At 39.2% G+C, this 26695-nt stretch overlaps 1 protein-coding gene across 7 annotated transcripts in view, besides 3 other annotated features; it reads right to left on the bottom strand.

Annotated features, from left to right (window-relative positions):
• Positions 5921-6358: a transcriptional cis regulatory region, noted in NCBI's record as "candidate enhancer chr6.704 targeted for multiplex CRISPR interference". NCBI's record gives its function as "positively regulates RNF182 gene expression in K562 cells {active_cell/tissue: K562}" and the evidence as "EXISTENCE:mutant phenotype evidence [ECO:0000015][PMID:30612741]".
• Positions 9210-9310: a transcriptional cis regulatory region, noted in NCBI's record as "candidate enhancer chr6.703 targeted for multiplex CRISPR interference". NCBI's record gives its function as "positively regulates RNF182 gene expression with high confidence in K562 cells {active_cell/tissue: K562}" and the evidence as "EXISTENCE:mutant phenotype evidence [ECO:0000015][PMID:30612741]".
• Positions 11071-11693: a transcriptional cis regulatory region, noted in NCBI's record as "candidate enhancer chr6.702 targeted for multiplex CRISPR interference". NCBI's record gives its function as "positively regulates RNF182 gene expression in K562 cells {active_cell/tissue: K562}" and the evidence as "EXISTENCE:mutant phenotype evidence [ECO:0000015][PMID:30612741]".
• RNF182 (ring finger protein 182) overlaps positions 18666-26695 on the bottom strand; it is a 55865-nt gene continuing 47835 nt past the window's right edge. For 5 of the 7 annotated variants that reach the window (NM_001165034.2, NM_001165032.2, NM_152737.4 and 2 more), the window contains 2 exons: positions 24612-24766; positions 18666-22067 (listed from right to left, as the gene is read on the bottom strand). In NM_001165034.2, the coding sequence (NP_001158506.1) occupies positions 21113-21856 (744 nt within the window). In that variant the 5' untranslated portion in view covers positions 21857-22067; positions 24612-24766 and the 3' untranslated portion in view covers positions 18666-21112. The remainder of the gene's footprint in view (positions 22068-24611; positions 24767-26695) is intronic. The other 2 variants (XM_017010450.3, NM_001165033.2) reach the window with 1 other exon arrangement.

Here is a 26695-nt window from a genome sequence, read left to right as displayed (position 1 = left end):
AGCACAACTTTTGACTGAGATTGGATATAGCTGGGAGGTAAGCTCATTATGCTGTTTTCTGTAATTTTCCATTTATATACTTTTTTTCATTCATAATTTCCCAAGGCCTCTGGTATATTAATAGTTTGGGTATTTGTCCCCTCCAAACCTCATATTGAAATTTGATCCCTGATGTTGGAGGTGGAGCCTGGTGGGAGGTATTTGGGTCATGAGGTGGATCCCTTATAATGGCTTGGTGCCATTCTTGTGGCATTGAGTGAGCTCTCACTCTAGTTCCTGTGAGATCTGGATGTTGAAGAGTCTGGCACCGCCCTCCCCTATCTCTTTTCCTTCCTCTCTTGCCACATGATGCCTGCTCCCTTTCTTCTTTGTCAGAGTGGAAGCTCCCTGAAGCCCTCCCCAGAAGCCAATGCCGGCACCATGCTTCTTGTACAGTCTGCAGAACTATGAGCCAAATAAACCTCTTTTCTTTGTAGATTACCCAGCCTCAGGTATTTCCTTTATAGCAACAAAAACAAACTAAGCTTCATAATGAGCAAATTGCAAGATGAACCCCAGATATTCTAATTAAATTGGTCTGGTGTGTGGCCTGGGTAGGAACGGTATTTAAAGCTTCCAAGTGATTCTTATCTGCAGTCAAGGCAAAAAACCACTGCATTAGGAGAAATGCAGGGAAGAACCCAGGTTTTAGAATCGGCCAGCTGTGGGGAAGAATCCCAGGTCTGCCACTGTTTTGTAAGCTTGGCCAACCGCACAATCAGTGTTTCCATCAGTACAATGGGGTAATAATACCTATTTTGTTGAATTGCTAGAAGAATTACAAAATAGTGATGTGTGTGAATTACCCAGTGTAGTATCTGACTTATCACACTAATAAGTAATTTTTCTCCTTGGGGTTGATGTATACAATTCTGATGTATTTTCTTGAAGTAAAACTTCATTACTCTATGGTATGATCTTACAAGAAACGAACAACAAACAGATTGCTTAGGTCCTAGGAGTGGGCTGAACATCTCAACACCGTCTCCCACCCGATGCCCCAGTCTCCCTTCTCTCTTCTCCAACCCACTTACTATATTCTAGAACAGCTTATAATCCTGCTGCTTTCTCAGCCCATCTTATTGAAATGTGTGCTTGTTATTTTGAAAGCCATAATTGCATGTTTACACCCAAAACACAGCTCTTCATCCAACGATTTGGTCTGTTGGATTCTCAACATTTCTTTTTAACTGGTATCATTATCTCAATGTGTCAAATAATACCACTGAAGTGATGAATGGAAAATGCTTTTTCTTTTTTTAATTCTTTACAATAGAAGGAAAGATGCCATATTACCAAGCCACAGTCTTTTAAACTACTTTGCTCAGAATTAGACTTCTCTTAACCTCAGAAGAACAGGCTCTGTTTTCAAGGTCTACTGATGTTGCATATCATGTATTACAAAAATAATTTTAGGCTGGGAGCAGTGGCTCATGCCTGTAATCCCAGCGCTTTGGGAGGCCGAGATGGGCAGATCACAAGGTCAGGAGTTTGAGACCAGCCTGGCCAACATAGTGAAACCCCATCTCTACTAAAAATATAAAAAAATTAGCTGGGCGCAGTGGCGGGCACATGTAATCCCAGCTACTCAGGAGGCTGAGGCAGGAGAATCGCCTGAACCCAGGAGGTAGAGGCTGCAGTGAGCTGAGATAGCACCACTGTACTCCAGCCCAGGCAACAGTGCAAGACTCCGTCTTAAAAAATAATAATAATAAATAAGTAAATAAAAACAATTTTAAATACTCATCATTTTCAAAACAACCTACTAATTTTTCAAATCTCCCCTTTATGTGTTTGAGAAAAGGGTTGATGAGGAGTTTAGGTATCCGAGAGAGAGGACTGTAACCATATAGCCTATCGGGGGACTGTGCTGACCAGGTGCCATTCTGTGTCTTAAGCAAACATTCACTGTGTGTCTACCTTATACTAGATGTGAGAGACAAGCAATGCGTAAGACATAGCTTCTATGCACAAGACACTCGCAATAGATTTCTGATGAAAAGATACAGGCTTGAAAACTCATAAGACAGTAAATGATTTAAGGCTAGTAAATCATTTACAATTTACAAATCATTACATAGAGGCAATACCTGTGGGAATTCTGTGAAAAGAGAGACCATGGCAGTTGGTGTGGTGAGGAGACAGTTGGGGTAGGGGATGGTGCCTGATCTGAGCATCGAAGGATGAATGGTCTGTGCTATGGTTTGAGTGCTTGTCCTCTCTCAAACTACTGTTGAAACTTAATCCCCAATGTGGCTGTACTGAGAGGTGGGACCTTTAAGAGGTAATTGGGTCATGAGGGTCAGCCCTTATAAATAGATTGATCCATTCATGGACTAATGGGTTAATGAATGAATGGGTTATCATAGGAGTGGGACTGGTGGCTTTAAAGAAGAGGAAGAGAGACCTGAGCCAGCACTCTCAGCCCCCTCACCATGTGATGCTCTGCACCATCTTGGGACTCTGGAGAGAGTGCCCACCAGCAAGCAGGAAGGCCCTAGCCAAATATAGCACCTTGACCTTGGACTTAGCCCTCATAATGTAAGAAATAAATTCCTTTTCTTTACAAATTACCCAGTTTCTAACACAGGAACAGGAAGCCAAACACTGCATGTTCTCACTCTTAAATGGTAGTTGAGCAATGAGAACTCATGGACACAGAGAGGGGAATGACACACTGGGGTCTGTCGGGGGACGGGGAGGGGAGAGAGAGCATCAGGACAAACAGCTAATGCATGCGAGGCTTAAAACCTAGATGATGGGTTGATAGGTGCAGCAAACCACCATGGCACACGTATACCTATGGAACAAACCTGCACGTTCTGCGCATGTATCCCGGAACTTAAAGTAAAATAAAAATAAAAATAAATTTAAAAAACACAAATTACCCAGTTTTAGGTATTACGTTATAAGCAACAGAAAACAAAGTCTGGCAGACCCTGAAGTTTCTCCCCAAAGTCATTCCCCCATTCCCGATGGCTTTCAGATCCCCAATTTTGTTTAGACATCAATGTGCCCACTTCTGGAAATAAATCATGTCTATAACAACCCTGATGCCTGCAACTGATGGACCTGGGGATGGGTTTAAGGTCTACTTCTGCCCACTTGAATTCTGGGAAATATTTTCTTGCCTTTTGCTCCCACTCCCTTTCTTTCTGCCTGGATTCCTGTCCTATGAAGACGTAACTTTTTTTCTTTTCTTTTCTTTTTCTTTTTTTTTTTTTTGAGACAGAGTCTCACTCTACCGCCAGGCTGGAGTGCAGTGGCACCATCTCAGTTCACTGTAACATCCGACTCCCTGGTTCAAGTGATTCTCCTGCCTCAGCCTCCCGAGTAGCTGTGATTACAGGCACGCGCCACCACACCCAGCTAATTTTTGTATTTTTAGTAGAGACGGAGTTTCATCATGTTGGCCAGGGTGGTCTCAATCTCTTGACCTTCTGATCCACCGGCCTCAGCCTCCTAAAGTGCTGGGGTTACAGGCGTGAGCCACCACGCCTGGCCAAGACATGACTCTTAAAGCTGAATCAGCCTTCTAGTGAACATATGGGAGATACCACCAAAACTATGAAGATGACAAAAATACAAAGAGGAACAAGTGTGGGCCATTGGTAACACTGAAGAGCCATTCTGTCCATCCTACGACTGTCCACTACCAAATTTTCTGTTATGTGAAATAACTATGTCTTTATTATTTAAGTTGCTCTGGTTGGCTATTTCATTACTAATGCAGGTGAGTCAGGCATTCCAAGGATAACAGCAAAAGCTAATAGCATGTTTGGGGGACAATGAATAGACAAATTTGACTGGACTGGAATACAGGGCTCGATAAAGGGAATATACATTAATCTAAGGAATAAAGCAGTCAACCAGACAGACCTGGGATCCAATCCTGGCTTAGTCATTTATTATCTGTGTGATTGTGGGCAAGTTACTCCAGTTCTCCACATCTAGTATTCACATCTGAAAAAATGGAGACACCTCTACCTTGTAGTGTTATTGTCATACACTTGTAAATAGTAGGTGCTCAATAAATGACAGCACTATTATTTGAAGAGAAAGCTGAGAAGTTAGGTTGAAGCCAAAATCTGGAGGCTTTTGGCTACCAGGCTAAAGAGCTCAAACTCAATCTTATTGATAATAGGAAGTCCTTGAAGGTTTGCATTTTGCAGCTTTTAATATTATCTATATGTTTATTTTAAAATTATTAATGTTAGCTAGATTAACACAAATTCTCACACTAAAGGCCTATCTACCCCAGTTCTCATCACATAATACAAAATGTCCAGCTTCCAACTGAACTACCAAAATTCACATGAGAAAACCTAGATAACCTGAATAACCCTATATCTACTAAAGAAATTGTATCAATAATTATAGCCTCCCAAAAGAGAAAGCACTAGGTTCAGATGGTTTTCTGGTTAATTCTACAAAACATTTAAAGAAGAAATCATACCAATTATCTACAATCTCTAGCAGAAAACAGAAGCAGAGGGAACACTTCCTAAGTCATTCAGTGAGGCCAGTATTACCCAAATAACAGAACCAGATAAAGATGTTACAAGAAGGAAAAACTACAGACCAATATGTCTCATGAACATAGATGGAAAAACCCTCAACAAAATATTAGCAGATCAAATCCAACAATACATAAAAATTATACACCATAACCAAGTGGGATTTACTCCAGGTATACAAGACTGGTTCAGCATTTGGAAATCAATCAATGTAATCCACTATATCAACAGGCAAAAGAAGGAAAATCATATGATACTATCAACTGAATTGGAAAAAGCATTTGACAAAATCCAACACTCATTTATGATAAAAACTCAGGAAATAAGGAAAAAGGGGAATTACCTGAACTTGATAGCGAGCATCTATAAGGCAAAATTCTATGGAGCATCACACCTGATGCTGAAAGGCTGAATGCTTTCTCCTACAAACAGAGGTACACAAATGCAGACAACTGATCTTTCACAAAGGAGCAAAGACTATCCCTTTCTCCTACAAATGGAGGTACACAAATACAGACAACCGATCTTTCACAGAGGAGCAAAGGCAATTCCGTGGAGAAAAGGATAGTCCCCTCCATGATGTTGGAACCACTGGATGTCCATATATCAAAAGCTGAACCTATATACAGACCTCAAACTTCTCCCAATAATTAAATTAAAATGAAACATAGACTTAACTGTAAAGAAAGGGAAGAGAACAAAGGAGAAAAGAAAGAAAGAAAGAAAAAGAAAGAGAGAGAGAGAGAAGAAGGAAGGAAGAAAGAAAGAAGGAAGGAAAGAAAGAAGGGAGAAAGAAAACAAGGGAGAAAACCCAGGCAACCTTAAGTTTGGTGATAAACTTCAGATACAACACAAAAACCACAATCCACAAAAAAAGGTGATAAATTCGATTTTATTAAAAATTGACAAACTGGACTTTAATATTTTCTTCTCTGAAAAAGACATTGTTAAGTAAATGAAATGATCAGCCACGGTCTAGGAGAAGATATTTGCAAAACATATCTCTGATAAAAGGCTTGCACCTAGAATATACAAAGAACTCTTAAAACTCAATAAAAATCAAACAACCTGATTAACAAATAGGCAAAATATCTGAACAGACACCTCACCAAAGGAGATATATATCTATATCTATCTATCTATCTATATAGAACTTCTTGTAGTTCCCAAAGTAAGAAAGTGCTCAAAAAGAAAAACAATATAAAAATCCACCATGATTAGCACGTGTCAAAAGGAAATACAAGCCAACTGAAAAACTTCTCAATGGCCAAAGCTGGAAGAATTTCAGCAACAAAATAAATAAAGTAGTACTGGATTATATCGCAAAGTATAAAATGTGTACCCATGAGTCCATGTTGAAATAACTAAAGATTGAAAACATGAATAAATGAAGGAGAAGAGACAAATCTCCCATATGGAAATATTCCAAATAATTGACTAGATGCTCTATGCTCAAGAAAATGGAGCATAACCCACACTCCTTAAGTGCAGGCTGCTCATAGTGACTTCCTTCCAAAGAGTACGGTGCAGAAAGTGGGGAAAAGAGTAGCCTTACAGAGGAGAAATATGATAAACACTGTGTCAGCCAGATGACCAGGCCATCAACCATGATGAGTCACGTTCATAGTCTGTATCATGATATGATGCAAGAAAATGGCACTTAATCTCTGTGATCTTGCTCCCAAGAACCCATAGCCCCTGTCTAATGATGAGAAAAACATCAGACAAGTTGAGAGACATTTTGTAAAATACCTGACTAAATCTGCCAAAGTCATGAAAAACAAGAAAAGCTGGCTGGGCACGGTGACTCACACTTGTAATCCCAGCAGTTTGGGAGGTCTAGGCAGGTGGATCACTTGAGGCCAGGAGTTTGAGACCAGCCTGGCCAACATGGTGAAATCCCATCTCTACTAAAAATACAAAAACTAGCCAGGTTTGGTGGTACTCGCCTGTAATCCCAGCTACTTGTGAGGCTGAGGCAGGAGAATCGCTTGAACCCAGGTGGCAGAGGTTGCAGTGAGCCGAGATTGCACCATTGCACTCCAGCCTGGTCAACAAGAGTGAAATTCCAACTGAAAAAAAAAAAAAAAAAGTCTAACAATCTGTCACAGCCAACAGGAACCTAAGGAGACAGGACAACTAAATGTAATGTAATTTCCTAGATGGGATCCTGGGACATAAAAAGGACATTAGAACAAAACTAAGGAAATCCAAATAGAGTATGAACTTTCTCAATAATAATTTATTAATACGGGTTCATTAATTGTAATAAGCATACCCTATCAATGTTAGATATTAATAAGAAGAGAAACTGGGTGTAGGGTATATGGGAATTCTCTCTACTGTCTTCTGAATTTTTCTGTAAGTGTAAAGCTTTTTCTAAATAAAAAAGTTTATTTAAAAAAATATTTACTTCAGGCTGCTTGCAAGCATAGCATTTGGCCTTTTTCAGAGTTTCCATTCCAAATCAAAAAAAGCTGAGATCTCAGAATCAGAGTTTAGGGAACAAAGAGAGGCATCCAGACATGGAGACATTAGATTGAAGTTGAAGTATACGACCAGTTTGGTAGAAGAATTACAGATAACATAATCGATAAAATTTAAGAGAAGAGACAGTGGAAAGTAATGTGAGTTAAGTATCTCCACTCTCAAAGACTGGAATCTATAGGTACTATGTAAAGTAGATACATTTTAATAATAATAATAATAAAACAGCTTAAAGGAAATACCTGTAAGGAATAGAGCTGTGTTTGGGAAAAGACAACTTTTCTTTTTCACCTGGTAGCATCCTGAATTTAGTCTCTAGATGAGCACAACAGAGTTGCTATGGCGATTGACTGAAATATGCATTTTAAGACAGTTACCCCAGGCCGGATGCGGTGGCTCACGCCTGTAATCCTAGCACTTTGGGAGGCAGAGGTGGGTGGATCATTTGAGGTCAGGAGTTCAAAACCAGCCTGCCCGACATGGTGAAACCCCATCTCCACTAAACAAAAATTAGCTGGGCATGGTAACGGGCACCTGTAATCCTAGCTACTAGAGGAGGCTGAAGCAGGAGAATCACTTGAACCCGGGAGGCGGAGGTTGCAGTGAGTTGAGATTGCACCACTGCACTGCAGCTTGGGCGACAGAGTGAGACTCCATCTAAAAAAAAAAAAAAAAAAAAAAATGGCAGTTAACCCAGAACTAAGAATATATGTAAGTGCTCAGTAAATCTTTGACAGTGCTATCATTTGCAAGTCTCCCATGCTACAGATGCTACAGGAAGAGGGAACAAGGCCTTACATTCTTCAGAGGATTTACAATTCATAACCATCAGTAACTTAAAAAGTTCAGAAAAATACTTTGTTGCTCAACAGAGCACGTCACTTCAGGTTTGTTACTCCTTAATATATAGCATGTTATAATTTCACAACCCAAAGTTATGCAGTAGTTGGCTGATGTACCAACGTCAGATGCTTGTACAGACGCAACAGACTCTAGTCCCACATTTACCTGCACAATTGAAAACAAATGATGCCTGACAAATGTTTAATTATTTCTGAATTTTATATTAGAACAATGTCAGCATCTTGCAAAATAGATTTTGATGAATACTTTGGCCACAATAAACCTTTTAAAAGAAAAACACTGGCTTTTATGATCTGAGATTTTCAGATTATGAGATCATTAATCACTCCAAGTGTTACGTCTCATTTCTACCCGAGAGTTATTTTATACCCTTAGGACCATGACATGTTTATTAGACTTAAGTTAAAACAGAGAATGATTTCTGCTCATGGTTATTCAAATTCCATTAAAAATAACTTCTAAGCCAGTGACCATTTTTCCATGTCTCCATTAAATATAGGAAATGTTAGAGCGAGTTGGAAAACAAATCTACCAGACTCCCCTGCACATTTTTCACACCCTAATGTAGTGAGATGATATTAACAGCCATTGATAAAGAATCTCTCTCTTTGGTGAGATTGCTACTGAGGATGTGTGTCTCTTTTGCAATTCTGAACTCCAAGTGAACCCATCCATGCTCCAAGTAGAATGGGTATATGGCACTGCATGTGCTTTGGGAACATTTTTAACTCTCACTGCATCGCGTGTATACATTAGAAGAAAAAGTTCTAACATTTCTGGAACCCATGGGAGCTTATTTTGAATCACTACAGCCAATAAATGTAGTAGGCATATATTTTACCGCAAGTTGCCCCCAAGCCTGCAGCAGGAGCAAGTGGAAAGGCAGGGAGGAGAGGAAGGGTAAGCTAATTCTTGCAGAACAACCTTGGAAAAGCTGGAGAATTAAAGACACCAGCTACCTGTGACTCTGGAGAGGACCAGGCCATTGAGAGTTGGCACCCAGAAAATTCGCCTCCCAGATCCCCTTGTCTATTCCTCCATGAAGCCTGGCAACTGCTCCTCCCCTGCCCTGCTGAAGACCAGAGAATGTCTGTCCTCAGAGACACCACATGCACCTGAGGGTGGAATGAGCCCTGCTGAAAACAAAGGTATTCAATGACAGGCTGCATATTGAGAAGGGAGTCTGACATCCTCCTTCCTTCAGCTTCCAAGACACTGGCAGCGAGGATTATCCTCTGTGGTGAGATTCGTCAATATAAAAGAAAGACCTACATGGATTGAGAATTGGTTATCTGCCAATAAAACAGGAGACACCTCCCCGGAGGCCCATCAGTTGACAAGCCCCAGCCATGCATACACAGCTTCCGACTAGTTTGTTTAGCTCCTCACTAAACTGAAAAGACAGCTAAAGATCAGATACTTGAAGGATCGTCTCCATGAAAGATAGGGACCAAAATAAACAGACAATATGACTCAGAGGAAATAGCGCAGGGAGCAAAAGAACACATAAAAACTCTAAAATTAATATTCTCACAAAAGAATGAGAAGAAATAAGAAGAGAGTATCATTTAAAAAACAACAACAAAAGAAACATTCAGAGGACAAGAAAGCACGCTAAGAAATTAAAAATGATGGCAAGCATGATAAAGTTAAAGAGAAATGTTGATAGATAAATTTGAGGTAAATTCTCTGAAATCAGATTAAACATGAAAGATGAGAAACAGGATAAGAAACTCAGAGGATCAACTCAGAAGGTTCAAAGGCTGATGGGCAGGAGTTCCAGAAACAAGAAGAAAGGAAACATAAAGAAAGCTATTTTGTAAAAAAATTAAAAAAATTTTTAAAATGCAAGAACATTTCTAGAACTGAGGGACATGAGCTTCCCAATGGAAAGGGCCTATTGAGTCCCTAGTAAAACAAATGGGGGAAAACAGCTGCACACTAATTTTTTTATTGCGACATTGTGGAACACTGTAGATAAAAAGAAGACCCTAATGGTTTTCAAAATGGAAAAATAATGACATACAAAGAATCAGAGATTACAATGCTCATTGTGAACTTTTAGAACACTGTGGAGAAAAAAGAAGACCCTAATGGTTTTCAAAATGGAAAAAAAAAAAAAAAGACATACGAAGAATCAGAGATTAGAATGCTAAATAACTCCTCTGCAGCAAAGTGGGGATTGAAAGGCACCAAAGCAATGAGGGAAGATGATTTCTAACCAAATCATCGATCAAGCTTAGGGCTAGAGGAAAGACATTTTGAGATGAGATCAGGCACGTTCAGAGTGGTATAGCTGTAGACGGAAAGATATTTTCAGACATGCAGGGTCTTAGCATTTTTACCTCCATGCATCTTTTTCTCCCAGCAAGCTAGTAGAGAATGTGCTTTCTTGTCAAAAAATGAATAAACCTAGCAAAAGACGGCAAGGGACTCAAGAAAAGGGGATCAGAGAATTCTCAGGATGCGTGGCTGGCAGCTGTGCAGAAAGTAACTAATCTGGATTAAATCAAGAGAGTGAAGGGCTCCAGGAGGGCTGTCGCCATGAGAGTAAACTGGCACATTATCTATCACGTTTGACAGAAAGGAAAGGTTTCTTCAATAATCATAGACTCTGGGGATGCTTCAGTTATACATACAAAGAAAACTAAGCAAATTCTAAAATGAGGCAATTAATTCCAGGGAAAACAAAAAGTTGTATATGAAAGAAAATGTATTCACAATACACTAGAACCTCAGCTATGAGTGATATTAGATAGTCATAACAATCTAAACACCAAATGTTGATTTTACCAAGAATTGTGATATAATTATATTGGGAACATGTAAGAAGTGAAAGAGTGTGTGTGTGTGTGTGTGTGTGTGTGTGTGTAGGGAAGGTCATAAGAAAATTAAGTCATTTTCCACAATAGAATATCGATAGATAATGGCTAAAATTGAAAAAAAATTAAGAAATTATCATATAAGTACAATTTTCAGAAATATGGAAGTAAAGAGAAAGAAATATTTAAGAGTAGAAAGTGGTTGCCCTTAGGAGGACAGGGAAGGATGGTTCAGAGGCACCTGTTTTTCATTAAAAGTGCTTAATACTATGTAACTTTTAATACCATGAAGATGTACAATTTTAATAAAAATAGAAGTTACTTTTTTGAAGAGCTATCAGTCCCTCTGAGAAAGCAGTTTCAGTGAAGTTGTAAAAGCCAAAACGCAAGCCACTCGAGAGCATGCATGGGTGATGAGAGCGAGTGAGTGAGAGGACGGCGTCGGGACCCATCACCAGAGTGGAGGTCCATGCACTGAGGGAGCAGGGCATGCAAACATCATCTTCCTGGATCTGATCATGATCCCAGGTACCGAGGAGGTCAGAATGTCATAGGGTGCTCTTTACACGATGCAGTAAAATTGCCTCAAAGATGATTGCAACTATCCAGGTAAGGGTCTAGATTAGGGTGCTGCACAGGGTAAGGAAAGATTATGTGAAAGCCTCCTGATTCTGATCATTTGTCACTCAAGTACTGACCTCTCACCTCAACGCTCTTCCTTTCCCTAATGACTACAGCCGTCTGCTTGTATATGATAAAGCTCTGTGTCTGCTTATGAATAAGTTTTCACTTCTCACATGCTTTGACCTTACTTCTCGAGAACAAAATGGGATGTTGAAGAATGTAGGTGATTATTTCATATCCTCATTACATATTTTTGTAGCTAGACATAGCTTCTAAGCATAAAATAATCTCTGTCCCACTGCATATTTTGTTGTCCATAAAATTCAGTAACCCATGTGGGAAAAATAAATTGACGGCTATTGACAAAGAGACAGGGGAGTGTAGGGTAAAAAGCAGACTGGGACTTCAGTGGTCCTTATTAGAACCTATCTCTCGCCTTTGTGAGAGGGATCATTTCTAAGTGTTGGTTTCATCATTTAAAACAAGGCAGCTTATAAGTGTGGGTTTAATCATTTAAAACAAGGCAGTGTCTACGTGTTGGTTTGATAATTTAAAACAAGGCAGTTGGCCTCTGATATATAAAATCTTTCCAGCCCTAACGTTCAATGACCAAAACTTTAAAAATCTGGTACATGTTTTCCAACAGTTGGAATATTAGGTCTATTCTGAGAATTAGCTGTGGAAGTTTCATAGGCTCAAAAAATAACTAGCACTTAATTATTCCACTTGAAATCTCCTTCTACATATATTTAGATATTTAGTAGGGGCTAGAGACAAAGCTTGAATATGTCATTCCATGAAAGTCTGACAAGAATTGTTCATTGTAAATTGTTTTATGTTGGGAACAAGTGTAGGGATCAATACTCCTTCACTATCCATGCTCCTGGTGGTCTGTTCCTTTGCCCCTTTGCACTTTGCCACTCTCCTGGGATGCACTGCCTAATTGTGACTTTTTGACTGCCTTTTAGATTCATGCACTGGTTTCGTGATTTCTGTCTGCCTTCAGATTCTATATTATGACTTTTATCAATTCTGTATTGCAGAGTTCACAAAATATGCTCCACAGAACACTAATTCCACAAAATATTAATAGATGTTTTGAGAAAGATTTCCATGGTTACATAGTTTGGGGGAAACATTGGATTGGACTGCTAAATAAGTTTCTTTAACCAAATGACTTCTCAGGCCCTTTCCTGCAGCAACACTCATGAGAATCTCTAAAAGAAAGATGCATAGGCACAGCTTCTGAGCAGGCACAGCCAGGAAGTCCTCCTTTCCTGGGCCAGCTACTGAGACATGTTTTATGTCATATATTTTGAAACTACTGCTTTAATCAGATACACCTTGGAAACATTATACTTGTCTTTATATCCTTCCAATGAGTTGTGACATGTATGGATATCTTGTCAAAGAATCAAGAAATATTTATATGTTATGCATCATAAGTAGTCAATATTTGAGTTAAAATAATGAATCTTTAGGTTTCGTATCAAAAACTTTGGCAAGGTTCCCATTTGGGATATAAAGCTGTAAGTAGGAAAGAGGGTTGTCTTCATCCATTTTTGCATTACTATAAAGGAATACCCGAGGCTGGGTAATGTATAAGGAAAAGAGATATGTTTGGCTCACAGTTCTGTAGGCTGTACAAGAAGAATGGCACCAGTGTCTGCTCAGCTTCTGGTGAAGTCCTCAGGCTGCTTCCACTCATGACAGAAGGCAAAGGGGAGCCTGTGTGTGCAGAGATCACATGGCCAGAGAGGAAGCAAGGGAGAAGGGGGAAGTGCCAGGCTCCTTTAACAACCAGCTCTTGGGGAACCTAACAGAGCAAGAACTCACCCTCTAGCAGGAGAAGAACGGCACCAAACCATTCATGAGGGATCCACCCCATGACTCAAACCTTTTGTTAGGCTCCACCTCCAACATTGGGATCAAATATTTAACATGAGGTTTCGGGGGACAAGTAAGTATCCAAACTATATCAAAAGTCTGGTAATTAGCAGTGCCACCTTCCTCCCGTTTCAAGGACAGAATTTAATATTCTTTGGTCTCCCAATGACCACTTCTCCGTTCTCCACTCTGGCAACAGAAAAATCCCACAAAAGTAGGGCATATTGTTTATTCCCTCTTAACTGGTGATTAAGAGTTGGTCAAATTATAGGCTAGAAATAATTTCATAATTTTTAAAATTCTAACCAACAATAAAATTTGTAATGACAGTAAATTTAACCATAGAAATACACAGTTCAAACTGGAATCTCTTGGAAAAAAAAAAAATCACATCAGGTCAGGCGTGGTGGCTCAGGCCTGTAGTCCCAGCACTTTGGGAAGCCAAGGCGGGCAGATCACGAGGTCAGGGGATTGAGATTATCCTGGCCAACATGGTGAAACCCTGTCTCTACTAAAAATACAAAAATTAGCTGGGTGTGGTGGCACATGCCTGTAGTCCCAGCTACAAGGGAGGCTGAGGCAAGAGAATCACTTGAACCCAGGAGGCGGAGGTTTCAGTGAGCCTAGATTGCGTCACTGCCCTCCAGCCTGGCGACAGAGCGAGATTCCGTCTAAACAAAAACAAAACAAAACCAAAAAAAACACAAAAAACCGTCAAATGGAATCACTGTCAACAACCATTCCATCATTTAGCTAGGAAAAATCTCCATTGCTCAGCTATGGTGAATATTGCAAAAGAGGGCACAATTACCTCTGAGACAAGCAGCCGAATCCATTGTTCTACAAGAAGTCATAAATGTAGTTGTTAGTCATCACAAAAATATTTTAAAATAATACTTAAATGGATAATCCCCAGCTAGTGGAAGACTAATGTGGTTCTCTTTCACAGAGCTTTGTTTCCTGAAATATAAAGCGTGTGTGTGTACAGGAGGTGTGGAGGAAGGTGGCAGTGACTGCGTTAGGTCACTAATGTCCTAAGTGACATTAAAGAAATCAGAGGAAATGGGGGAAGAAACAAAGAGCGCAGGAGGTTTTGGCTCAGCACATAGCAAAAACAGATGTTCATTTATTGACTAATGGTGTTATGTGGCATTAAAAATAACATTTCATAGCTAAAGTGTCACTTTAACTCTTTTGAAATGCTATGTTAAAAGATGAGCTCTCTTATTTGTAGGCACGGAACAATAAAAAGTTTAACTTATTCGGAACTACTGAGAAGGATTTACCATTAAGCCAACTCAGAATTATCTGACTTTAGTCCAGTATACATCTGTTAACCAAGACATAATTCGTGATTGGCTCAACCAAATTGGGACTGTATTGGCAAGAATTAGGGGCAAGTGTTAAGTTTAGAATTACACAGCATATATGTACTAAAAATAATGCTTACTAAAAGTTTGAAAACATTATCTAAAGACTACAGAATTTATTGTATGACTTGATAGATGCCCTGCATGCATTCTACTTGCTGCTATGAAGAATGAAAAAGATCTAACAACAGGGAGTGGATATACAGAAAAGTTCCAGCAGAGTATCAAGACTGGGAACACACAGTGAATGCTGTGGAGGAACCCACTGCCTGGCAGGGATTTTAAGAAGAGATGAAATGGTCAGACAATAGGCAAGAGGTTATTCTGGGCAAACAGGATCACTCTGAAAAACAGACTAAATTACTAGAATAACAAGGAAAGAGAGCTGTCTAAAGCAAAGAATTTAAGATTTGACAAAGATTGAGAATAAGGAGTACATAGTCTTCAAGGAAGTAATGATTCAGCAGATGAACAGAGAGCTGCCTATGAAATGTTCAACAAGAGATTGGTTGAGAGTGGACAGTTCAAGGCTAGAGTCCAGTGAATTATTTAAAGGTTAAAAAAAGGTACTTCACAGATGATTTGGGCTTCTTTCTCCTCTGAGATCATAGAAAGTACATTGGAAGATAAAAGATTGTGATTTTCATTCCAGTTTATGCCTTCAATAATTGGGTAACTATAAAGATGCATTCAAACCTTAAGATTTACTGAAGCTTTAGACAAGGGTTGGCTCCTATGGTTCTATTTCCTCCATTACACAGCTGACAGTCGAGGCGGGAGTTAGTTCTCACTAGAATAACACTCCAAATCTTTGGAAAACGAAGTACCTGTAGTTGATTCGTGCAAGGATCATTATTGGCTGTTAAAACCATCAGGTGAAAATTGTTAGGGAAGAGAATATTTGCATGGATCCAAAGTGTCACCCCATGGATTTTTTTTACAGTTGCACAGGGGAAGTAGAGACCACCTTAACTGAGTGATCAAACTGAGTGTTTTGAATGGGAGGGCAACCTTTCATTTTATGCCTCCAAATGTGATGTGATACAAAGGTGACTAAGACAACTTGTTGCCCAAAATCTGAGTCCAATCAAGCTTATAGATTTTTGGCTTACAGAAAATACAGGTAACAGAAATTAAACACCACCAAATACAGAATGCGGGACATCATACAAGGTAACTGGTTTGCTTTCTTCAAGAAGTCAAGGTTATGGGGAAAACAAGGTGGGGTGACTATTCCAGAAGGAGAGAATAAAGATATAAAAAAATCAAAGGCAATGTGTGAGACTAGACCAGATCCCGGTATTTTTTTTTTATTTTTGTTGGTTGAGTTTTTTTTTTTAAGTTACAAAACATATTTGAGAATAGAAAAATTTGAGAAAAATGTATACAAAATGATATTAGAAAGGTATTTTTAATTGTCTGAGATAATATAATAATGTTTTAGTCAAATTAGAGGGAAGTTCTTTATTTTTAAGGGTGATAGAAAACAAATATTGCAAAAGGTTAACAATTGACTCTAAGTGATAAGTGTACAGGTGATAATTATTCTATTTTCTCAACTTTTCTGTATCTTTGAAAATCTTCGTGAAATAAGCTTGAAGAACCTTTCTTTCTTTCACCATCCAATCTACTTCTGTTGTGTTCACCCAATCATCCTAACTCCCCCCTCATCCTTGCTCCCATGACCACTGCCTCTGGTGTCCATTCTCCCCCTCTGGTTGCACCATGACAGTGGCTGTGCCCACTGCCCTACTGAGCATTCAGAGTTATAGCCTGGAGAGCTCAGCCTCTCAGTCCTCTCTGGGCCTCAACATTTCTCTACCCCCTCACCTTCAGCTGCTATTGAAATACACTGTTGGTGGAAATATAAACTAGTACAGTCACTAGGGAGAATAGTACAGTCGCTGTGGAGAATAGGATCCTCAAAAAACTAATAAGACTGTGATCCAGCAATCCAGAGCATTTATCCAAAGGAAAGAAATCAGTGTATGGAAGAGACATCTGCACCCCATGTTTACTGCAGCACTGTTCACAATAGCCAAGATATGGAGTCAACCTAGGTATCTAAGAACAGATGAATGGATAAAGAAAATGTGGTATAGTACACAATGGAATCCTATTCAGACATAAAACATAATGAAATCCTATCATTTGTGGCAACATGGATGGAACTGGAGGACCTTATGTTAAGTGAAGTAAGCCAGGAACAGAAAGTTAAATACCGGTGTTCTCACTCATCTATGGAAGCTAAAAAAAAAAAGTTGTTCTCATAGAAGTAAAAAGCAGAACAGAATACCAGAGGCAGGCAGCGTAGAGGGAAGGGAGAGATGGGGAGAAATTTGTTCAAGGATACAGAATTACAGCTCGATGGGAGGAGTAAGTTCTAGTATTCCATAACACTGTAGGATGACCCTAGTTAACAATAGATTATATAGTTTTAAATAGCTAGAAGGAGGATAGTGAATATTCCCAACAAAAAAATGAAAAATGTGTGAGATGGCTATGCTAATTAGCCTGATCTGATCACTATACATTATATGTATCAAAACACCACTATGTACTACATATATACAATTATATTTCAATTTAAAAATCTTAAAAATAGACTATAAAAAAGAAGAATTGCTAAAGACTCCCAAAGCTATGTCTTCAGGCCAGACCTCTTATCTGGGGTAATAAGAATGTAAATGTAATGTGAACGTGAATGTACAAAGAAACTTTCCTTACACTTCATGCGAAAAACAAGATCTAAAACCACCTACTGTCAGAGCATATTCTTTCTCCTGTGAAATTCCAACCTTCTCAATTTAAAGTGTTAATATGTTACAAATCTAATAAACTCTTAATTAAAATGCTTGTGACTTTTCAGTTAATTGATGTTTTAATTAAATCAAGGTTTAACACTTTTAAAAATACATTAGCACAGATCCCTACTTAGTATACACAGTGTTCAGGATGTAATTTAATTTTTGATTCTTTTATTCATAAGCTTAAAGCACCTTCATGTCAGAACCATAAATGTCTGCACACTGAGTATATGCAGATTTGGAGTCTACCACAGTATGAAATGATATCAGGAACTGGGTTGAATCTGTATTACCTCCAGGACTCATTTGGAATTTACTCAAATTTCAACATTCACATTTTTTAAATCTCTCTTACACAAAAATAAATGTGTAAGGAAAGACCCAATACTAAGCCTACAGTTCCTCACAAAGGAGTAAAAATTCATAAAGGGTATTGAAGTAGAGAGAATAATTTAATAAAAGGGCAAAGATGTAGAAAGCACACAAAACTCTAACTTGGAGAGCAAATGGTTAAACTCTTTCAGGGACCATACCAAGACTCTCACAGGTTTTGAGTAAAGCTCTGGAATAATATGTGGTGTTTCTATGGCATTTCCAAGGAATCAAGTTGAGGTATTTTTTACCAAGAAGAGTAGGCAAAAAGAGCAAGTCTCAAAAAATGCAGAAACATAAAATCGTAGTTTGCTTGCATGATACTCTCTCTAACTCATTTGCATCTCATCTGTATCTCATGAACTATAAATATGAGCTACTCCAGAGCTCATATTCATAATGGCTATATCAGTTTGCCTATCGATACCAGGATTCATTTGGCTTTGGGACTACCTGGTTGACATACTAAGACATTTCTTCAAGGTGTCTTCGAAGCCTAGTATCTGTTTACAATCTGGCAAATACATATCACTTTCAAGTCTCTCGGCAGATATGCATGAGTTCACCCTGTAAGTTATGACCAATACAGGTAACTGCTTTCTTTAAGCTGATTCTTTGCTCATTTACATAAACATTTCAGAAGTGAATGAAACCATTATTCTTGCCAATTCACTAATTATCATAAGCATAAAACTGCTGCATATTCCCAAATTATTTCTACTTTGCCTAACAATGGTCATAGTTAGATGCCATGTGATTTTTAAAATTTTCCCAGACCATACAAGGTAAGTGATTTCCCAACTAAGTTGGATTCTATTTTGTTGAGTAGTTAGGCAAAAACCTGGAAATGAAATCAAACAAACTAAAACCGAAGAATTTATTTATAAAGACGATATTTTTATTTCATCTCCCCTAATTTTTCTCCCCTGCTTTAAAATAAATAAATAAAATAAAATAAAATAAAATAAAATAAAATAAAATAAAAAAACTATGAAGGCCTTTTAAAAGTGTGATGGGTTAGGTCCCCTTTGTTGGAAAGTTCTGAAGTCTTCACGGGCATGATAAAGGCATTAGCTGAACCAACGTTTCTGAATGTTCATGTTTGCCGTTATCTAAAGCTAACAGAGGTGCAAAGTCATAACTGAATTTTAACCATAAGTCAGAGAAATCAAACTTCTAAATTTGGAAATAATAACAATTTAATAGACAAACAAAATAGTATCACAGTGAATAAAATATTAAAGCATTATCTTTTTATCATTCAATAGCATGAAGAGTTTTCTGGTGTCATACAAAGATTGCTCTCTAAAGCCAAATTAACTAGAAAAAAAGACTGCCACAATACACGGAGACACAAGTTTATCACTGTAGACATTATACAGAGAAGCAAAACACATCGTACCCATGTCCAGAGCTTTCTAGAAATCTCATTATATAACTCACCAATTTACTCAATGTTACATTTCAAACAAAACGAACATTTTTTTAAAAAAACCTTACAAATATATAAATCCAAACCACAAAACATCTTCTAAACATGGTATTTACTCTAAACACAAATGGATTTCTGGAAATTGCATCACAATGCTATCTAAACTAGATTTTATGAAATCATAAATGTATTTAGCTGTATCTTGGGGCTTAAATTCATTGGACCATATCCCATGTATACTATTCTCATCCTACTTACTTTGGGCATACATATTCCCGAAGTTTAGTTTTACAATTAAAATCAAACTGCTATTCCAGTTGGAATGGGCGCACTGTACCTGCATCACACAACAAAGATTTCATAACAAGTTAAAGTCGTCTTAGTAATGCCCCCTTTCTAAGAGTTACAAATATTTTAATGTTAATCATTAGTAATGGGTTTTAGAGACTAGAATGTTTTTTTAAATTTTTGCCTAGTTTCTGTGAACAGTCTATTTTGCCAACTTGTAATCTGCTAAACAAATTCTTCTTAGAAATATATACATTCAACTTTCCCTACATCATGAAAAGAAGTTCATTAACTCAAATCACCTAGATTATGCTTGTATTCAAAATAAATTGTGTAAGAACTTGAATCCATTCCAAAACCAACTCAAAAACAACAGGGATAGCAACATGTTAAGCTGCACTCTGCCCCTGCCATTTTACTTCCTTGAAGGGTCTTTTCAAGCAGGGCTTCAGCTTTGCATGTCTCTTGCCCACCCCTTTGTCTAGACTACAACACAAAGTCTTGCACATAAACCTAAACCATCATATTTTGGTACAGCTCAGTACCGTACAGCAAAATACTTAGGTTCTCAGCACTTCAAACTGTGAGCTGAAGCATCTCATTAACTGTTTCTGGTTTTCATTGCCACAGTTCACCTCGAATTGTTATAAGATTCAGTTAAGTAAATCCTAATAGAACCAAAAATATAATAGGGAAAAAAAGTATTGATGAATTTATAGCAACTAATTTAAATGGAACCTTTTCAGGACAAGGGGTGAGGCTGATTGGGCAATGTGGTTTAAAAAAACCAAAACTAAGATGTTATAAGGAAAGACTCAAATGAAGGTTTTCATCAATAATAACCGCTGTATGAGAAGTTCCTTCTCCTCCATTCTTCTCAGATAAGACTGAGGAGAGAGGAAAACAGACATGGAGGAAAGAGTGTGTCTCAAGGACAAATGGCCACATTCTGCCATGAAGCTGACTGTGATGCAAATTCCTCAGTGCTTTTCATTCTCCTTAGTAATGTGGCAAAACTGGTATTCAGTTGAAACTACCCAAGGGAATGGAACCGAGTTTCCTCTTGGCAAGGGAGAATGGGCAGAGGAAACAAGTATCTCAATGGGATCGCCGACCACAGAGAGTGACTTAAGAGAGAAAACACCTGAAGACAATTCTAGGGTGTTCCAATACCAGGGGTATGGGGTGGGAAAGGAGTACACACTTTGTGTCTCAGAGCAACTTTCCTCTTGTGTCCAACTGCCATCATAGAACATCCATGAATACGAAAGGAGGGATCCATGCTCTCCCTATAGTATAACACACCACACCCCTGCCGTCTGTCTGGCAGTGCTGAGAGAAACCCTGTCCTTTCTCTGGGAAGACTCACTGCTGTCAGTGCTCCATGAAGTGTGAGCTTATACAATTTTGCTAACCCCTAAGTAGAAATGAACATTTTTACTTCCAGCCTACAGGAAAACCAATCAAGTCAACATGTGGCCAAGGGTTTTGTTAATGTCATGGATACTAATCATAAAGAACATAAAAGAAAATAAATTATAAATTATCTAACTTCACACTCAAACAGGGCAATGTGTGTCCAATTTCTTATTTTGCATATCAGTTAAGAAGGAGGTGCCATACAGTCTAGAAATTCATGACAAACACACTGGCAAAAACCATACACCATAAGAATAACGAGGCTCGAAGGGACCAGGCTGACAAAGACGACCCCAAGGGTGACTTTCTTAGACACCAGTAAGTAGATTCCTAAGGGTAAGGAGCTGAAGTAGAGCAAACCTAGCAACCACACTAACACCCGGATGGATGTCTGAAACAGCAGGGACGTGCAGTTCCACACAGTCCAGTTGTGTGACACAGTGGTGACAGAGTCGAAACTCGCAGGCCTATAAAATTCTACCACAGGAGTGGAGCTCAGGGACGGGGAGCTCTCTCTCTGCACCTCCATGATGGTTATGACCAGGCAGTTGGAGGACGTGTGAGAAGGACTGACCAGAGAGGCCAGCCTCTTGGGGGTGAGCAGCAGCTCAGTAGGGTTCTCTGGCAGGCACTTCTTCCCTTTGCCTCCACAAGTCAAGTTTACAAGGATGTTGTTGTCATCGGGCAGGCTACTAACTTCATCATCTGGCAGGCACGTCTCAAACCTGCAGAAAGGACAGACAATGACACCTTGTGGGGAGTCCCCAAAGTCTATGATCTTGTAGAGGCATTTGGCACAAACCCTATGACAACACTCCAGCACTTTGGGTTTCCTCTGTTTCAGATTGTATCGATTGTAACAGATTTTGCACTCCAGCTCATCAGAGGCCTGAGACTCCGCAGTGTCTTCAGGAGGTTGACTGGCCATCTTGAATTATGTGTGCAATCTTATGCCAGGTGGGTCTTGTTGAAGAATGGCTTTGATTAAGGTGCCCCTCTGAATATCATATCATCCAAATCTGGCAGCGATGCAAAAAGGCAGGATAAGTAGTGAAAGAAACCAGAAATCTTCCAGGCATTTTCAACTTCTGCATATAACTCTGTCTCAAACGCATATTTATAAAGGCCACATGAAGGGTCTGTAAAGAAGAAAAGAGATTCTAATATAATGAACAGTTCACTGAAACGGTGTTTCTGAAAAGTGCTTTATGGAATTTTCTGAGCTTCAAGGATTAGAAGCAATAAACTTAAAAGGTTAAATCCCCTTCATCTTTTCACACACTTCTGTCCCTGGAACGGAAAAGTGTTATTTCCATGCTTAGCTGTTTCAGTCAACAAGCATGATAGTGAAGAAAGAGTTAAGAATCCTAATGGGTGTAAAGGACAGTGTAGAGCTAGCTATGTGCTCTAGAACATACTTTAGTCTAGATACAAGAGATTTTCACTCTGAAACTTGTAACAAATTCTGGCCTCTGAAAACAGAATGGGACATGTATCAGAAACAGAAAACTAATTCAGAGTATTGTTGGTGTAAATACCAGGTGTCTAAATACCGTCAATAGTGCTTAGGAATACACAAAAGGGAATATTAAGGACAAATGTTAAAAATGTGTTTTCAGAGACTGCTTTGATAGAGATAAGAGCATATTTAAGTAGAGCAGACTGTTCTTACCTTCTCAGTGTAAAGAAATCTGTTATATAAATGCTTTTATTGTTTGATTATTCCATTTCAATTTTTTTGTTTCAATACCAGTCTTGAAAACCACAGCTGTGCATATACATTCATTAAAGGAAGAATGAGGCATATAACACCCGATATAAGCATTATGAACAAGTCAAGTCTAAGTCCCAAGAAAGAGAAGTAAACACAGATAAAACATGCATAGCTATGTCTCTAGACATGAAGAAATCACTTGTGCATGGCTATGAAGAAATACTCAACATTCACTTACTCATCTACTTTATTTCATGCAAACTCTTTCTTTAGTAAAAGGAAAGTGTAATACAATCTACAGTCCTTGCTATTACTAATTACTATTACTGGTTATTACCAGCTTTGGACAAATGGTTGAAGGTTAATTTCATATGCACAGTCAGTTCTCAATTTTCAGTACTAATGGAAGGGAGCAGTAATATACAAAATCTCAAAATTATTTTTAATTAGCTTTAATATATGTAGTATTTTTGGTAGTTGATTCACCTTAAATTATGTTTGGCTTAGAAAAATATCAAAATGTATTTGATTTTCTGAGCACATCTCCAAGCAATAATAGCAGAAAGCTGTCATAACAGTTCTGAGGGCAGAGAGTAACTGCGCTAGACATTTAAATTTGCTATGGATCATACTGCACTAACAGAGAAAGGCAGTGGGTAGCTGAATCTGGATAACTTTAAAAATCATGAATAGTTGACTTATTAATACATATTATCTTCATTTTAAGACTTTAATTTTTAATTGACTTCCTATTCTACAAGAATGTGTAACGGATAGCAGTGGCAAGATGTATAGTTGGTGGCAAAAAGAAGTCAATCTATAGAATCTCTGGTAGCCAAAAATGTAGGTAGGATTTTTTCAAATACAGTATATGTATGCCTGTATTTCAAAACTGCTACCACGAACCAAGCTCTATGTATCTAGCCTAACACACAAAAAAGATATACAGACAGAAACATCAACTCTTCTCTCTCCTTTCCTTCCATGTGCCCTAATTTCCCTCATTCCTGATCCTGATCCCATTCAGGATACACATGCCCATGTCACTGCAAAATATGACTATGTCCTGCTCACAGTTCCACAAGGCTGGCATTTTTTTTCCTCCTGTGGGATGAACATCTTCAGGATGACAGCCAAAGAACAAGAAGGAGTTCTATCCTGGTCACCACACACAGTCCTAGCTCACTTCATGGGACAGTCCCCAGCCCTGGGCAGTTCACTGGTGATCTGCCACCTGGAAAGCTCCCATTCATTCCCTGCTGAGCACAAGGCTCTTACAACAGTACCCCTGGTAGCCACACACAGACTTCAGCCCACCCAAATGGAACATGTCATTTGTTCTTTGCAGCTACATGCCCACCCAGATGTAATGCTCTCCTGAATCCAGAGGTTAGGAAGCTGATGGTCCCAGTAGGGTTAGCAGCAGTGTCTGTCCCCATTGCCATAGAAAGGACTGAGGTATGTGAAGTCATGTGGAAAAAGGAAAAGAAAGTATGTAAACACATGCATAAAGACATCAGAAAAAAAGAGTAAAACAGCCAGTGAAGATAACTAGGCAAAATTACACCTAGAAATTTTGTACAGAAAGCTAGAGTAGACATGTGAGTGTTTATGAATACGTAAGAACACATTAGAACATCAGCATTTGACAGTCAGCAGGTCACATTCCTACTTTCTGTACCAAGCTTCCAACCATTAGAAGAGTAGCAGTAACACTTTATGTTGGGCCAGCCACAATTTCTAGCTGATAATTATGTGAACCTAAATTATTTCCTTGAAAATATTGAGCTATTATTTGAAACAAAGCTTTGTTTTGTCACAGAAATACTCTATCAGATTACTGAGTATGTTAAGATAGAGTGTTATGTGATTATAATGTTCATATTTATACAAATTTATATAAGGGACTTCTTGGTAACGTGCAATGGAAATACTCAATATTCAAATATCCAGTAAAAAATATACCTACTCTAATTCCAAGGCCAGCTCTAGCAAACCTATTCCATCAGCAGGAAAGCCTTCATCAAGTCCTGCCTCTAAGAACGGCTCTTCTGGGCAAGACCAGGTGACAGCCTTGAGCTCTGGTAGCATCCCTGGAAATGCAGCCAACACAAGTATTTCTTCCTGGAATGGCAGAAAAGAGCATGGTGATTGTTCCTCTTGAAAAGCCAGGCTACCAACTGCTACAGTTAAAAAAAAAAAAGTTTCATCTATCTTATTATGATTTTAAGATCCCTCAAAGAACTTGAATAATAACCAAAAATCTAAACCTTTCTAGGGTTATAATTAGTCAGAGTTGTTCTCTGGGTCTCTAAGAGATACTCATTCCAGCCCATCTCCAACCTGCCTTCACTTCTGTCAAAAGCTGTGGACAACAATCATGATGTTCAGTGAAAGCCAGGTCCAAAAGAGTAATACTGTATGAGTCCATTAATATAAAGTTCACAAACCAGGCAGAACCAAGCTGTAGCATTTAGGGGTGCAAGCTTAGGTGGTAAAGCTATGATGAAAACTCTGGCGGTGATTAGACTACATGTCAGGTTTATTAGTCCATTCTCATGCTGCTAATAAAGACATACCCAAGACTGAGTAATTTATATAGAAAAAGAGGTTTCACGGACTCATAGTTCCACATGGCTGGGGAGGCCTCACAATCATGGCAGAAGGTGAAGGAGGAGCAAAGGCATGTCTTACATGGCGGCAGGCAAGAGACAATGAATGCCAAGCAAAATGGGAAACCCCTTATAAAACCATGAGATCTTGTGAGAACTCACTATCATGAGAACAGTATAGGGGAAACTGACTCCATGATTCAATTATCTCCACCTGGCCCTGCCCTTGACATGTGGGGATTATTACAATATAAGGTCAGATTTGGGTGGGGACACACAGCCAAACCATATTATTCCACCTCTGGCCCCTCCCAAATCTCATGTCCTCACATCTCAAAACCAATCGTGCCCTCCCAACAGTCCCCCAATGTCTTAACTCATTTCAACATTAACTCAAAAGTCCATAGTCCAAAGTCTCATCTGAGACAAGGCAAGTCCCATCTGCCTATGAGCCTGTAAAATCAAAAGCAAGTTAGTTACTTCCCAGATATAATGGGGGTACAGGCATTGGATAAATACACCCATTCCAAATGGGAGAAACTGGTCAAAACAAAGGGGCTACAGGCCCCATGCAAGTCCAAAATCCAGCAGGGCAGCCAAATCTTTGACTCCATGTCTCACATCCAGGTCATGCTGATGCAAGAGGTGGGTTCCCATGGTCTTGGACAGCCCTGCCCCTGTGGCTCTGTAGGGTACAGCCTCCCTCCTGGCTGCTTTCACAGGCTGGCATTGAATGTCTGCAGCTTTTCCAAATGCATGGTACAAGCTGTCTATGGATCTATCACTGTGGGGTCTGGAGGACAGTGGCCCTCTTCTCACAGCTCCACTAGGCAGTGCCCCAGTGGGGACTCAGTGTGGGGGCTCCAACCCCACATTTCCCTTCCACACTGCCCTAGCAGAAGTTCTCCATGAGGGCCCCACCCCTGCAGCAAACTTCTGCCTGGACGTCCAGGCATTTCCATACATCCTCTGAAATCTAGGTGGAGGTTCCCAAACCTCAATTCTCGACTTCTGTGCACCCACAGGCTCAATGCCGCATGGAAGCTGCCAAGGTTTGGGGCTTGCACCCTCTGAAGTCATGGGCTGAGCTGTACATTGACCCCTTTTAGCCATGGCTAGGATGTAAGGCACCAAGTCCCAAGACTGCACAAAGCAGCAAGGCCCTAGGTCCGGCCCACAAAACCATTTTTTCTCTTAGCCCTCTGGGTCTGTGATGGGAGGGGCTGCCATAAAGACCTCTGATATGCAGAGACATTTTCCCCATTGTCTTGGCAATTAACATTTGGCTCCTCATTACTTATGCAAATTTCTGGAGCCAGCTTCAATTTCTCCTCAGAAAATTGGTTTTTCTTTTCTATTGCATCGTCAAGCTGCAAATTTTCTCAACTTTTATGCCCTGCTTTTTTTTTTTTTTTTTGAGACAGAGTCTTGCTCTGTCACC

The sequence above is a fragment of the Homo sapiens genome, chromosome 6 (genome assembly GCF_000001405.40).
Source record: "Homo sapiens chromosome 6, GRCh38.p14 Primary Assembly".
Taxonomy (NCBI): Eukaryota; Metazoa; Chordata; class Mammalia; order Primates; family Hominidae; genus Homo; species Homo sapiens.
This window is presented reverse-complemented; position numbering and strand designations above follow the sequence as displayed.